This window comes from Homo sapiens, chromosome 3 (assembly GCF_000001405.40).
Source record: "Homo sapiens chromosome 3, GRCh38.p14 Primary Assembly".
Taxonomy (NCBI): Eukaryota; Metazoa; Chordata; class Mammalia; order Primates; family Hominidae; genus Homo; species Homo sapiens.
In genome coordinates, this window is record NC_000003.12 from 90,925,922 (window position 1) to 90,941,987 (window position 16,066).

At 37.6% G+C, this 16,066-nt stretch overlaps 1 annotated feature.

Annotated features, from left to right (window-relative positions):
• Positions 1-16,066: part of a centromere (Linear centromere model derived predominantly from reads generated in PMID: 17803354. This region does not represent an actual centromere sequence, as long-range ordering of repeats and unmapped WGS contigs is not provided by the model. For details of model production, see http://arxiv.org/abs/1307.0035.) that runs on past both edges of the window.

A 16,066-nucleotide genomic window follows, 5' to 3' on the forward strand; every position in this document is an offset into this window, starting at 1 on the left:
AACTCATGGAGTTGAAACTTCCTTTCGATAGAAGAGTTTTGAAATACTCTTTTTGTAGAATTCCCAAGTGGATTTTTACAGCGGTTGGAGGTCTATGGCAGCAAAAGAAATATCTTCACAGAAAAACTAGGCAGATTCATTCTCCGAAGCTGTTTTGTGATGCTTGCATTAAGCTGACAGAGTTTAAACTTCCTTTGATAGAGCAGTTTGGAAACACTCTTTTTGTGGAATTTTCCAGTGTATATTTAGAGCGTTTTGAGGCCTACAGTAGGAAAGGAAATATCTTCACATAAAAACTAGACAGAAATATTGTCAGAAACTTATTTGAGATATTTGCATTCAACGCACAGTGTTGAACATTCCTCTTGATGGAGCAGTTTTGAAACACTCTTTTTGTAGAATCTGCAGGTGGATATATGGACCTCTTTGTGGCCTTCGTTTGAAACGTGATTTCTTCATTTACAACTAGACAGAAGAATTCTCAGAAACTTCTTTGTGATGTGTACTTTCAACTCACAGATTTGAAGCTTCCTTTCAATAGAGCACTTTTGAAACTCAGTTTCTGTAGAATTTCCAGGTGGATATTTAGCGCCGTTTGAGGCCTATGGTGGAAAAGGCAATATCTTCGTAGAAAAACTAGACAGAATGATTCTCAGAAACAACTTTGTGATGTGTGCGTTCAACTCACGGAGTTTAACCTTTCTTTTGATAGACCAGTTATGAAACACTCTTCTTGTAGAATCTGCAAGTAAATATTTGGACTTTTTTGAGGCCTTCATTGGAAACGGGATCTCTTCATATAAACCTTGACAGAAGAATTCTCAGAAACTTCTCTGTGATGTGTGCGTTGAACTCTCAGAGTTCAACCTTCCTTTTGATAGAAGAGTGTTGAAATATTCTTTTTGCAGAATTTCCAAGTGAATATTTAGAGCGGTCTCAGGCCTATTTAGAAGAGAGACTATCCTCACGGAAAAACTAGACATAATTGTTCTCTGAAGCTACTCTGTGATGTGCGCATTCAGCTGACAGAGTTTAACCTTTCTTTGGATAGAGCGGTTTTAAACCCTCTTTTTGTGGAATTTGCAATTCTATATTTAGAGTGCTTTCAGGCCTGTGGTATAAAAGGGAATGTCTTCACATAAAATCTAGACAGAAGCATTGTCGGGAACTATTTTGGCATACCTGCCTTCAACTCTCAGAGTTGAATATTCCTCTTGATGGAGCAGTTTTGAAAAACTCTTTTTGTTGAATCTCCAAGTGGATATTTGGACCTCTTTGTGGCCTTCGTTTGAAACGTGAGTGCTTCATACAAAAGTAGACAGAAGAATTCTCATAAACTTCTTCGTGATGTGTGCTTTCAACTCGCAGTGTTGAAGCTTCCTTTCGATAGAGCAGTTCTGTAACTCTCTTTTTGTAGAATTTCCAAGTGGATATTTAGCGCCGTTTGAGGCCAATGGTGGAAAAGGCAATATCTTCATAGAAAAACTAGACAGAATGATTCTCAGAAACTACTTTGTGATGTGTGCCTTCAACTCACAGAGTTTAACCTTTCTTTTGATAGAGCAGTTTTGAAAAACTCTTTTTGTAGAATCTGCAAGTGTATATTGGGACTTTTCTGAGGCCATCTTTGGAAACGGGATTTCTTCATATAAAACTTGAAGGAAGAATCCTCAGAAAATTATTTGTGATATGTGCATTTAACTCATGGAGTTGAAACTTCCTTTCGATAGAAGAGCTTTGAAATACTCTTTTTGTAGAATTTCCAAGTGGATTTTTACAGCAGTTTGAGGTCTATGGCAGACAAAGAAATATCTTCACAGAAAAACTAGGCAGATCCATTCTCCGAAGCTGTTTTGTGATGCTTGCATTAAGCGGACAGAGTTTAAACTTCCTTTGAGAGAGCAGTTTGGAAACACTCTTTTTGTGGAATTTGCAAGTGTATATTTAGAGCGTTTTGAGGCCTACAGTAGGAAAGGAAATATCTTCACATAAAAACTACACAGAAGTATTGTCAGAAACTTATTTGTGATATTGGCATTCAACGCACAGAGTTGAACATTCCTCTTGATGGAGCAGTTTTCAAACCCTCTTTTTGCAGAATCTGCAGGTGGATATTTGGACCTCTTTGTGGCCTTCGTTTGAAACGTGATTTCTGCATTTACAACTAGAAAGAAGAATTCTCAGAAACTCCTTTGTGATGTGTACCTTCAACTCACAGAGGTGAAGCTTCCTTTCAATAGAGCACTTTTGAAACTCAGTTTTGGTAGAATTTCCAGGTGGATATTTTGCGCCGTTTGAGGCCTATGGTAGAAAAGGCAATATCTTCGTAGGAGAACTAGACACAATGATTCTCAGAAACAACTTTGTGATATGTGCGTTCAACTCACGGAGTTTAACCTTTCTTTTGATAGACCAGTTATGAAACACTCTTTTTGTAGAATCTGCAAGTAAATATTTGGACTTTTTTGAGGCCTTCATTGGAAACGGGATCTCTTCATATAAACCTTGACAGAAGAATTCTCAGAAACTTCTCTGTGATGTGTGCGTTTAACTCTCAGAGTTCAACCTTCCTTTTGATAGAAGAGTGTTGAAATATTCTTTTTGCAGAATTTCCAAGTGAATATTTAGAGGGGTCTCAGGCCTATGTGGAAGAGAAACTATCTTCACGGAAAAACTAGACATAATTGTTCTCTGAAGCTACTTTGTGATGTGCGCATTCAGCTTACAGAGATTAACCTTTCTTTGGATCGAGCGGTTTTAAACACTCTTTTTGTGGAATTTGCAATTCCATATTTAGAGTGCTTTCAGGCCTGTGGTATAAAAGGGAATGTCTTCACATAAAATCTAGACAGAAGCATTGTCGGGAACTACTTTGTGATACCTGCCTTCAACTCTCAGAGTTGAATATTCCTCTTGATGGAGCAGTTTTGAAAAACTCCTTTTGTTGAATCTCCAAGTGGATATTTGGACCTCTTTGTGGCCTTCGTTTGAAACGTGACTGCTTCATACAAAAGTAGACAGAAGAATTCTCATAAACTTCTTCGTGATGTGTGCTTTCAACTCGCAGAGTTGAAGCTTCCTTTCGATAGAGCAGTCTTGTAACTCTCTTTTTGTAGAATTTCCAAGTGGATATTTAGCGCCGTTTGAGGCCTATGGTGGAGAAGGCGATATCTTCATAGAAAAACTAGACAGAATGATTCTCAGAAACTACTTTGTGATGTGTGCCTTCAACTCACAGAGTTTAACCTTCCTTTTGGTAGAGCAGTTTTGAAAAACTCTTTTTGTAGAATCTGCAAGTGTATATTGGGACTTTTCTGAGGCCATCTTTGGAAACGGGATTTCTTCAGATAAAACTTGAAAGAAGAATCCTCAGAAAATTATTTGTGATATGTGCATTTAACTCATGGAGCTGAAACTTCCTTTCGGTAGAAGAGCTTTGAAATACTCTTTTTGTAGAATTTCCAAGTGGATTTTTACAGCGGTTTGAGGTCTATGGCAGAAAAAGAAATATCTTCACAGAAAAACTAGGCAGATTCATTCTCCGAAGCTGTTTTGTGATGCTCGCATTCAGCTGACAGAGTTTAAACTTCCTTTGAGAGAGCAGTTTGGAAACACTCTTTTTGTGGAATTTGCAAGTGTATATTTAGAGCGTTTTGAGGCCCAGAGTAGGAAAGGAAATATCTTCACCTAAAAACTAGACAGAAGTATTGTCAGAAACTTATTTGTGATATTTGCATTCAACGCACGGAGTTGAACATTCCTCTTGATGGAGCCGTTTTGAAGCACTCTTTTTGTGGAATCTGCAAGTGGATATTTGGACCTCTTTGTGGCCTTCAGTGTGAAACGTGATTTCTTCATTTACAACTAGACAGAAGAATTCTCAGAAACTTCTTTGTGATGTGTACCTTCAACTCACAGAGTTGAAGCTTCCTTTCAAAAGAGCACTTTTGAAACTCAGTTTTTGTAGAATTTCCAGGTGGATATTTAGCGCCGTTTGAGGCCTATGGTAGAAAAGGCAATATCTTCGTAGGAAAACTAGACAGAATGATTCTCAGAAACTACTTTGTGATGTGTGGGTTCAACTCACTGAGTTTAACCTTTCTTTTGATAGACCAGTTACGAAACACTCTTTTTGTAGAATCTGCAAGTAAATATTTGGACTTTTTTGAGGCCTTCATTGGAAACGGGATTTCTTCATAGAAACCTTGACAGAAGAATTCTCAGAAACTTCTCTGTGATGTGTGCGTTTAACTCTCAGAGTTCAACCTTCCTTTTGATAGAAGAGTGTTGAAATATTCTTTTTGTAGAATTTCCAAGTGAATATTTAGAGCGGATTCAGGCCTATGTAGAAGAGAAACTATCTTCACAGAAAAACTAGACATAATTGTTCTCTGAAGCTACTCTGTGATGTGCGCATTCAGCTGACAGAGTTTAACCTTTCTTTGGATAGAGCGGTTTTAAACCCTCTTTTTGTGGAATTTGCAATTCTGTATTTAGAGTGCTTTCAGACCTCTGGTACAAAAGGGAATGTCTTCACATAAAATCTAGACAGAAGCATTGTCGGAAACTACTTTGGGATACCTGCCTTCAACTCTCAGAGTTGAATGTTGCTCTTGATGGAGCAGTTTTGAAAAACTCTTTTTGTTGAATCTCCAAGTGGATATTTGGACCTCTTTGTGGCCTTCGTTTGAAACGTGACTGCTTCATACAAAAGTAGACAGAAGAATTCTCATAAACTTCTTCGTGATGTGTGCTTTCAACTCGCAGAGCTGAAGCTTCCTTTTGATAGAGCAGTTTTGTAACCCTCTTTTTGTAGAATTTCCAAGTGGATATTTAGAGCCGTTTGAGGCCTATGGTGGAAAAGGCAATATCTTCATAGAAAAACTAGACAGAATGATTCTCAGAAACTACTTTGTGATGTGTGCCTTCAACTCACAGAGTTTAACCTTTCTTTTGATAGAGCAGTTTTGAAAAACTCTTTCTGTAGAATCTGCAATTGTATATTGGGACTTTTCTGAGGCCATGTTTGGAAACGGGATTTCTTCATATAAAACTTGAAAGAAGAATCCTCAGAAAATTATTTGTGATATGTGCATTTAACTCATGGAGTTGAAACTTCCTTTCGATAGAAGAGTTTTGACATCCTCTTTTTGTAGAATTTCCAAGTGGATTTTTACAGCGGTTTGAGGTCTATGGCAGAAAAAGAAATATCTTCACAGAAAAACTAGGCAGATTCATTCTCCGAAGCTGTTTTGTGATGCTTGCATTCAGCTGACAGAGTTTAAACTTCCTTTGATAGAGCAGTTTTGAAACACTCTTTTTGCGGAATTTGCAAGTGTATATTTAGAGCGTTTTGAGGCCTACAGTAGGAAAGGAAATATCTTCACCTAAAAACTAGACAGAAGTATTGTCAGAAACTTCTTTGTGATATTTGCATTCAACGCACAGAGTTGAACATTCCTCTTGATGGAGCAGTTTTCAAACCCTCTTTTTGCAGAATCTGCAGGTGGATATTTGGACCTCTTTGTGGCCTTCGTTTGAAACGTGATTTCTGCATTTACAACTAGACAGAAGAATTCTCAGAAACTTCTTTGTGATGTGTACTTTCAACTCACAGAGTTGAAGCTTCCTTTCAATAGAGCACTTTTGAAACTCAGTTTCTGTAGAATTTCCAGGTGGATATTTAGCGCCGTTTGAGGCCTATGGTGGAAAAGGCAATATCTTCGTAGAAAAACTAGACAGAATGATTCTCAGAAACTACTTTGTGATGTGTGGGTTCAACTCACTGAGTTTAACCTTTCTTTTGATAGACCAGTTAAGAAACACTCTTTTTGTAGAATCTGCAAGTAAATATTTGGACTTTTTTGAGGCCTTCATTGGAAACGGGCTTTCTTCATATAAACCTTGACAGAAGAATCCCCAGAAACTTCTTTGTGATGTGTGCATTTAACTCTCAGAGTTCAACCTTCCTTTTGATAGAAGAGTGTTGAAATATTCTTTTTGTAGAATTTCCAAGTGAATATTTAGAGCGGTTTCAGGCCTATGTAGAAGAGAAAATATCTTCACAGAGAAACTAGACATAATTGTTCTCTGATGCTACTTTGTGATGTGTGCTTTCAGCTTACAGAGTTTAACCTTTCTTTGGATAGAGCGGTTTTAAACACTCTTTTTGTGGAATTTGCAGTTCTATATTTAGAGTGCTTTCAGGCCTGTGGTACAAAAGGGAATGTCCTCACATAAAATCTAGACAGAAGCATTGTCGGAAACTACTTTGTGATACCTGCCTTCAACTCTCAGAGTTGAATATTCCTCTTGATGGAGCAGTTTTGAAAGACTCTTTTTGTTGAATCTCCAAGTGGATATTTGGACCTCTTTGTGGCCTTCGTTTGAGACGTGACTTCTTCATACAAAAGTAGACAGAAGAATTCTCATCAACTTCTTCGCGATGTGTGCTTTCAACTCGCAGAGTTGCATCTTCCTTTCGATAGAGCAGTTTTGTAACTCTCTTTTTGTAGAATTTCCAAGTGGATATTTAGCGCCGTTTGAGGCCTATGGTGGAAAAGGCAATATCTTCATAGAAAAACTAGACAGAATGATTCTCAGAAACTACTTTGTGATGTGTGCCTTCAACTCACAGAGTTTAACCTTTCTTTGGATAGAGCAGTTTTGAAAAACTCTTTTTGTAGAATCTGCAAGGGTATATTGGGACTTTTCTGAGGCCATCTTTGGAAACGGGATTTCTTCATATAAAACTTCAAAGAAGAATCCTCAGAAAATTATTTGTGATATGTGCATTTAACTCATGGAGTTGAAACTTCCTTTCGATAGAAGAGTTTTGAAATACTCTTTCTGTAGAATTCCCAAGTGGATTTTTACAGCAGTTTGAGGTCTATGGCAGCAAAAGAAATATCTTCACAGAAAAACTAGGCAGATTCATTCTCCAAAGCTGTTTTGTGATGCTTGCATTAAGCGGACAGAGTTTAAACTTCCTTTGATAGAGCAGTTTGGAAACACTCTTTTTGTAGAATTTGCAAGTGTATATTTAGAGCATTTTGAGGCCTACAGTAGGAAAGGAAATATCTTCACATAAAAACTACACAGAAGTATTGTCAGAAACTACTTTGTGATATTTGCATTCAACGCACAGAGTTGAACATTCCTCTTGATGGAGCAGTTTTGAAACCCTCTTTTTGCAGAATCTGCAGGTGGATATTTGGACCTCTTTGTGGCCTTCGTTTGAAACGTGATTTCTTCATTTACAACTTGACAGAAGAATTCTCAGAAACTTCTTTGTGATGTGTACCTTCAACTCACAGAGGTGAAGCTTCCTTTCAATAGAGCACTTTTGAAACTCAGTTTCGGTAGAATTTCCAGGTGGATATTTAGCGCCGTTTGAGGCCTATGCTAGAAAAGGCAATATCTTCGTAGGAGAACTAGACAGAATGATTCTCAGAAACAACTTTGTGATGTGTGCGTTCAACTCACGGAGTTTAACCTTTCTTTTGATAGACCAGTTATGAAACACTCTTTTTGTAGAATCTGCAAGTAAATATTTGGACTTTTTTGAGGCCTTCATTGGAAACGGGATCTCTTCATATAAAGCTTGACAGAAGAATCCCCAGAAACTTCTTTGTGATGTGTGCATTTAACTCTCAGAGTTCAACCTTCCTTTTGATAGAAGAGTGTTGAAATATTCTTTTTGTAGAATTTCCAAGTGAATATTTAGAGCGGTTTCAAGCCTATGTAGAAGAGAAAATATCTTCACAGAGAAACTAGACATAATTGTTCTCTGAAGCTACTTTGTGATGTGCGCATTCAGCTGACAGAGTTTAACCTTTCTTTGGATAGAGCGGTTTTAAACACTCTTTTTGTGGAATTTGCAATTCTATTTTTAGAGTGCTTTCTGGCCTGTGGTACAAAAGGGAATGTCTTCACATAAAATCTAGACAGAAGCATTGTCGGGAACTACTTTGGGATACCTGCCTTCAACTCTCAGAGTTGAATATTCCTCTTGATGGAGCAGTTTTGAAAAACTCTTTTTGTTGAATCTCCAAGTGGATATTTGGACCTCTTTGTGGCCTTCGTTTGAAACGTGACTTCTTCATACAAAACTAGACAGAAGAATTCTCATCAACTTCTTTGCGATGTGTGCTTTCAACTCGCAGATTTGCAGCTTCCTTTCGATAGAGGAGTTTTGAAACTCTCTTTTTGTAGTATTTCCAAGTGGATATTTAGCGCCGTTCGAGGCCTATGGTAGAAAAGGCAATATCTTCGTAGAAAAACTAGACAGAATGATTCTCAGAAACTGCTTTGTGATGTGTGCCTTCAACTCACAGAGTTTAACCTTCCTTTTGGTAGAGCAGTTTTGAAAAACTCTTTTTGTAGAATCTGCAAGTGTATATTGGGACTTTTCTGAGGCCATCTTTGGAAACGGGATTTCTTCATATAAAACTTGAAAGAAGAATCCTCAGAAAATTATTTGTGATATGTGCATTTAACTCATGGAGTTGAAACTTCCTTTCGATAGAAGAGTTTTGAAATACTCTTTTTGTAGAATTTCCAAGTGGATTTTTACAGCGTTTTGAGGTCTATGGCAGCAAAAGAAATATCTTCACAGAAAAACTAGGCAGATTCATTCTCCGAAGCTGTTTTGTGATGCTCGCATTCAGCTGACAGAGTTTAAACTTCCTTTGAGAGAGCAGTTTGGAAACACTCTTTTTGTGGAATTTGCAAGTGTATATTTAGAGCGTTTTGAGGCCTACAGTAGGAAAGGAAATATCTTCACCTAAAAACTAGACAGAAGTATTGTCAGAAACTTATTTGTGATATTTGCATTCAACGCACGGAGTTGAACATTCCTCTTGATGGAGCCGTTTTGAAGCACTCTTTTTGTGGATTCTGCAAGTGGATATTTGGACCTCTTTGTGGCCTTCGTGGGAAACGTGATTTCTTCATTTACAACTAGACAGAAGAATTCTCAGAAACTTCTTTGTGATGTGTACTTTCAACTCACAGAGTTGAAGCTTCCTTTCAATAGAGCACTTTTGAAACTCAGTTTCTGTAGAATTTCCAGGTGGATATTTAGCGCCGTTTGAGGCCTATGGTGGAAAAGGCAATATCTTCGTAGAAAAACTAGACAGAATGATTCCCAGAAGCTACTTTGTGATGTGTGGGTTCAACTCACTGAGTTTAACCTTTCTTTTGATAGACCAGTTATGAAACACTCTTTTTGTGGAATCGGCAAGTAAATATTTGGACTTTTTGGAGGCCTTCATTGGAAACGCGGTTTCTTCATATAAACCTTGACAGAAGAATTCTCAGAAACTTCTCTGTGATGTGTGCGTTTAACTCTCAGAGTTCAACCTTCCTTTTGATAGAAGAGTGTTGAAATATTCTTTTTGTAGAATTTCCAAGTGAATATTTAGAGCGGTTTCAGTCCTATGTAGAAGAGAAACTATCTTCACAGAAAAACTAGACATAATTGTTCTCTGAAGCTACTTTGTGATGGGCGCCTTCAGCTGACAGAGTTTAACCTTTACTTTGGATAGAGCGGTTTTAAACACTCTTTTTGTGGAATTTGCAATTCTATATTTAGAGTGCTTTCAGGCCTGTGGTACAAAAGGGAATGTCTTCACATAAAATCTAGACAGAAGCATTGTCGGGAACTACTTTGGGATACCTGCCTTCAACTCTCAGAGTTGAATATTCCTCTTGATGGAGCAGTTTTGAAAAACTCTTTTTGTTGAATCTCCAAGTGGATATTTGGACCTCTTTGTGGCCTTCGTTTGAAACGTGACCGCTTCATACAAAAGTAGACAGAAGAATTCTCATAAACTTCTTCGTGATGTGTGCTTTCCACTCGCAGAGTTGAAGCTTCCTTTCGATAGAGCAGTCTTGTAAGTCTCTTTTTGTAGAATTTCCAAGTGGATATTTAGCGCCGTTTGAGGCCTATGGTGGAGAAGGCGATATCTTCATAGAAAAACTAGACGGAATGATTCTCAGAAACTACTTTGTGATGTGTGCCTTCAACTCACGGAGTTTAACCTTTCTTTTGATAGAGCAGTTTTGAAAAACTCTTTTTGTAGAATCTGCAAGTGTATATTGGGACTTTTCTGAGGCCATCTTTGGAAACCGGATTTCTTCATATAAAACTTGAAAGAAGAATCCTCAGAAAATTATTTGTGATATGTGCGTTTAACTCATGGAGGTAAAACTTCCTTTCGATAGAAGTTTTGAAATACTCTTTTTGTAGAATTTCCAAGTGGATTTTTACAGCGGTTTGAGGTCTATGGCAGAAAAAGGAATATCTTCACAGAAAAACTAGGCAGATTCATTCTCCGAAGCTGTTTTGTGATGCTTGCATTCAGCTGACAGAGTTTAAACTTCCTTTGATAGAGCAGTTTGGAAACACTCTTTTTGTGGAATTTGCAAGTGTATATTTAGAGCGTTTTGAGGCCTACAGTAGGAAAGGAAATATCTTCACCTAAAAACTAGACAGAAGTATTGTCAGAAACTTATTTGTGATATTTGCATTCAACGCACGGTGTTGAACATTCCTCTTGATGGAGCCGTTTTGAAGCACTCTTTTTGTGGAATCTGCAAGTGGATATTTGGACCTCTTTGTGGCCTTCGTGTGAAACGTGATTTCTTCATTTACAACTAGACAGAAGAATTCTCAGAAACTTCTTTTTGTTGTGTACTTTCAACTCACAGAGTTGAAGCTTCCTTTCAATAGAGCACTTTTGAAACTCAGTTTCTGTAGAATTTCCAGGTGGATATTTAGCGCCGTTTGAGGCCTATGGTGGAAAAGGCAATATCTTCGTAGAAAAACTAGACAGAATGATTCTCAGAAACTACTTTGTGATGTGTGGGTTCAACTCACTGAGTTTAACCTTTCTTTTGATAGACCAGTTATGAAACACTCTTTTTGTAGAATCTGCAAGTAAATATTTGGACTTTTTTGAGGCCTTCATTGGAAACGGGATTTCTTCATATAAACCTTGACAGAAGAATCCCCAGAAACTTCTTTGTGATGTGTGCATTTAACTCTCAGAGTTCAACCTTCCTTTTGATAGAAGAGTGTTGAAATATTCTTTTTGTAGAATTTCCAAGTGAATATTTAGAGCGGTTTCAAGCCTATGTAGAAGAGAAAATATCTTCACAGAGAAACTAGACATAATTGTTCTCTGAAGCTACTTTGTGATGGGCGCCTTCAGCTGACAGAGTTTAACCTTTCTTTGGATAGAGCGGTTTTAAACACTCTTTTTGTGGAATTTGCAATTCTATATTTAGAGTGCTTTCAGGCCTGTGGTACAAAAGGGAATGTCTTCACATAAAATCTAGACAGAAGCATTGTCGGGAACTACTTTGTGATACCTGCCTTCAACTCTCAGAGTTGAATATTCCTCTTGATGGAGCAGTTTTGAAAAACTCCTTTTGTTGAATCTCCAAGTGGATATTTGGACCTCTTTGTGGCCTTCGTTTGAAACGTGACTGCTTCATACAAAAGTAGACAGAAGAATTCTCATCAACTTCTTCGTGATGTGTGCTTTCAACTCGCAGCGTTGAAGCTTCCTTTCGATAGAGCAGTTCTGTAACTCTCTTTTTGTAGAATTTCCAAGTGGATATTTAGCGCCGTTTGCGGCCAATGGTGGAAAAGGCAATATCTTCATAGAAAAACTAGACAGAATGATTCTCAGAAACTACTTTGTGATGTGTGCCTTCAACTCACAGAGTTTAACCTTTCTTTTGATAGAGCAGTTTTGAAAAACTCTTTTTGTAGAATCTGCAAGTGTATATTGGGACTTTTCTGAGGCCATCTTTGGAAACGGGATTTCTTCATATAAAACTTGAAAGAAGAATCCTCAGAAAATTATTTGTGGTATGTGCATTTAACTCATGGAGTTGAAACTTCCTTTCGCTAGAAGAGTTTTGACATACTCTTTTTGTAGGATTTCCAAGTGGATTTTCACAGCGGTTTGAGGTCTATGGCAGAAAAAGAAATATCTTCACAGAAAAACTAGGCAGATTCATTCTCCGAAGCTGTTTTGTGATGCTTGCATTCAGCTGACAGAGTTTAAATTTCCTTTGATAGAGCAGTTTGGAAACACTCTTTTTGTGGAATTTGCAAGTGTATATTTAGAGCGTTTTGAGGCCTACAGTAGGAAAGGAAACATCTTCACCTAAAAACTAGACAGAGGTATTGTCAGAAACTTATTTGTGATATTTGCATTCAACGCACAGAGTTGAACATTCCTCTTGATGGAGCAGTTTTGAAACACTCTTTTTGTAGAATCTGCAGGTGGATATTTGGACCTCTTTGTGGCCTTCGTTTGAAACGTGATTTCTTCATTTACAACTAGACAGAAGAATTCTCAGAAACTTCTTTGTGATGAGTACCTTCAACTCACAGAAGTGAAGCTTCCTTTCAATAGAGCACTTTTGAAGCTCAGTTTTGGTAGAATTTAAAGGTGGATATTTAGCGCCGTTTGAGGCCTATGGTAGAAAAGGCAATATCTTCGTAGGAGAACTAGACAGAATGATTCTCAGAAGCTACTTTGTGATGTGTGGGTTCAACTCACTGAGTTTAACCTTTCTTTTGATAGACCAGTTATGAAACACTCTTTTTGTGGAATCTGCAAGTAAATATTTGGACTTTTTTGAGGCCTTCATTGGAAACGGGGTTTCTTCATATAAACCTTGACAGAAGAATTCTCAGAAACTTCTCTGTGATGTGTGCGTTTAACTCTCAGAGTTCAACCTTCCTTTTGATAGAAGAGTGTTGAAATATTCTTTTTGCAGAATTTCCAAGTGAATATTTAGAGCGGTCTCAGGCCTATGTGGAAGAGAAACTATCTTCACGGAAAAACTAGACATAATTGTTCTCTGAAGCTACTCTGTGATGTGCGCATTCAGCTGACAGAGTTTAACCTTTCTTTGGATAGAGCGGTTTTAAACACTCTTTTTGTGGAATTTGCAATTCTATATTTAGAATGCTTTCAGGCCTGTGGTACAAAAGGGAATGTCTTCACATAAAATCCAGACAGAAGCATTGTCGGAAACTACTTTGTGATACCTGCCTTCAACTCTCAGAGTTGAATATTCTTCTTGATGGAGCAGTTTTGAAAAACTCTTTTTGTTGAATCTCCAAGTGGATATTTGGACCTCTCTGTGGCCTTCGTTTGAAACGTGACTTCTTCATAGAAAACTAGACAGAAGAATTCTCATAAACTTCTTCGTGATGTGTGCTTTCAACTCGCAGAGTTGAAGCTTCCTTTCAATAGAGCAGTTTTGTAACCCTCTTTTTGTAGAATTTCCAAGTGGATATTTAGCGCCGTTTGAGGCCTATGGTGGAAAAGGCAATATCTTCATAGAAAAACTAGACAGAATGATTCTCAGAAACTACTTGGTGATGTGTGCCTTCAACTCACAGAGTTTAACCTTTCTTTTGATAGAGCAGTTTTGAAAAACTCTCTCTGTAGAATCTGCCAGTGTATAGTGGGACTTTTCTGAGGCCATGTTTGGAAACGGGATTTCTTCATATAAAACTTGAAAGAAGAATCCTCAGAAAATTATTTGTGATATGTGCATTTAACTCATGGAGTTGAAACTTCCTTTCGATAGAAGAGTTTTGACATCCTCTTTTTGTAGAATTTCCAAGTGGATTTTTACAGCGGTTTGAGGTCTATGGCAGAAAAAGAAATATCTTCACAGAAAAACTAGGCAGATTCATTCTCCGAAGCTGTTTTGTGATGCTTGCATTCAGCTGACAGAGTTTAAACTTCCTTTGATAGAGCAGTTTGGAAACACTCTTTTTGTGGAGTTTGCAAGTGTTTATTTAGAGCGTTTTGAGGCCTACAGTAGGAAAGGAAATATCTTCACATAAAAACTAGACAGAAGTATTGTCAGAAACTTCTTTGTGATATTTGCATTCAACGCACAGAGTTGAACATTCCTCTTGATGGAGCAGTTTTGAAACCCTCTTTTTGCAGAATCTGCAGGTGGATATTTGGACCTCTTTGTGGCCTTCATTTGAAACGTGATTTCTTCATTTACAACTAGACAGAAGAATTCTCAGAAACTTCTTTGTGATGTGTACCTTCAACTCACAGAGGTGAAGCTTCCTTTCAATAGAGCACTTTTGAAACTCAGTTTTGGTAGAATTTCCAGGTGGATATTTTGCGCCGTTTGAGGCCTATGGTAGAAAAGGCAATATCTTCGTAGGAGAACTAGACAGAATGATTCTCAGAAACAACTTTGTGATGTGTGCGTTCAACTCACGGTGTTTAACCTTTCTTTTGATAGACCAGTTATGAAACACTCTTTTTGTAGAATCTGCAAGTAAATATTTGGACTTTTTTGAGGCCTTCATTGGAAACGGGATTTCTTCATATAAACCTTGACAGAAGAATTCTCAGAAACTTCTCTGTGATGTGTGCGTTTAACTCTCAGAGTTCAACCTTCCTTTTGATAGAAGAGTGTTGAAATATTCTTTTTGTAGAATTTCCAAGTGAATATTTAGAGCGGTTACAGGCCTATGTAGAAGAGAAACTATCTTCACAGAAAAACTAGACATAACTGTTCTCTGAAGCTGCTCTGTGATGTGCGCATTCAGCTGACAGATTTTAACCTTTCTTTGGATAGAGCGGTTTTCAACAATATTTTGTGGAATTTGCAATTCTATATATAGAGGGCTTTCAGGCATGTGGTACAAAAGGGAATGTCTTCACATAAAATCTAGACAGAAGCATTGTCGGGAACTACTTTGTGATACCTGCCTTCAACTCTCAGAGTTGAATATTCCTCTTGAAGGAGCACTTTTGAAAAACTCTTTTTGTTGAATCTCCAAGTGGATATTTGGTCCTCTTTGTGGCCTTCGTTTGAAACGTGACTGCTTCATACAAAAGTAGACAGAAGAATTCTCATAAACTTCTTCGTGATGTGTGCTTTCAACTCGCAGCGTTGAAGCTTCCTTTCGATAGAGCAGTTTAGTAACTCTCTTTTTGTAGAATTTCCAAGTGGATATTTAGCGCCGTTTGAGGCCTATGGTGGAAAAGGCAATATCTTCATAGAAAAACTAGACAGAATGATTCTCAGAAACTACTTTGTGATGTGTGCCTTCAACTCACAGAGTTTAACCTTCCTTTTGGTAGAGCAGTTTTGAAAAACTCTTTTTGTAGAATCTGCAAGTGTATATTGGGACTTTTCTGAGGCCATCTTTGGAAAAGGGATTTCTTCATATAAAACTTGAAAGAAGAATCCTCAGAAAATTATTTGTGATATGTGCATTTAACTCATGGAGTTGAAACTTCCTTTCGACAGAAGAGTTTTTAAATACTCTTTTTGTAGAATTTCCAAGTGGATTTTCACTGCGGTTTGAGGTCTATGGCAGAAAAAGAAATATCTTCACAGAAAAACTATGCAGATTCATTCTCCGAAGCTGTTTTGTGATGCTTGCATTCAGCTTACAGAGTTTAAACTTCCTTTCATAGAGCAGTTTTGAAACCCTCTTTTTGTGGAATTTGCAAGTGTCTCTTTAGAGCGTTTTGAGGCCTACAGTAGGAAAGGAAATATCTTCACATAAAAACTAGACAGAAGTATTGTCAGAAACTTATTTGTGATATTTGCATTCAACGCACGGAGTTGAACATTCCTCTTGATGGATCCGTTTTGAAGCACTCTTTTTGTGGAATCTGCAAGTGGATATTTGGACCTCTTTGTGGCCTTCGTGGGAAACGTGATTTCTTCATTTACAACTAGACAGAAGAATTCTCAGAAACTTCTTTGTGATGTGTACTTTCAACTCACAGAGGTGAAGCTTCCTTTCAATAGGGCACTTTTGAAACTCAGTTTCTGTAGAATTTCCAGGTGGATATTTAGCGCCGTTTGAGGCCTATGGTGGAAAAGGCAATATCTTCGTAGAAAAACTAGACAGAATGATTCTCAGAAACAACTTTGTGATGTGTGCGTTCAACTCACGGAGTTAAACCTTTCTTTTGATAGACCAGTTATGAAACACTCTTTTTGTAGAATCTGCAAGTAAATATTTGGACTTTTTTGAGGCCTT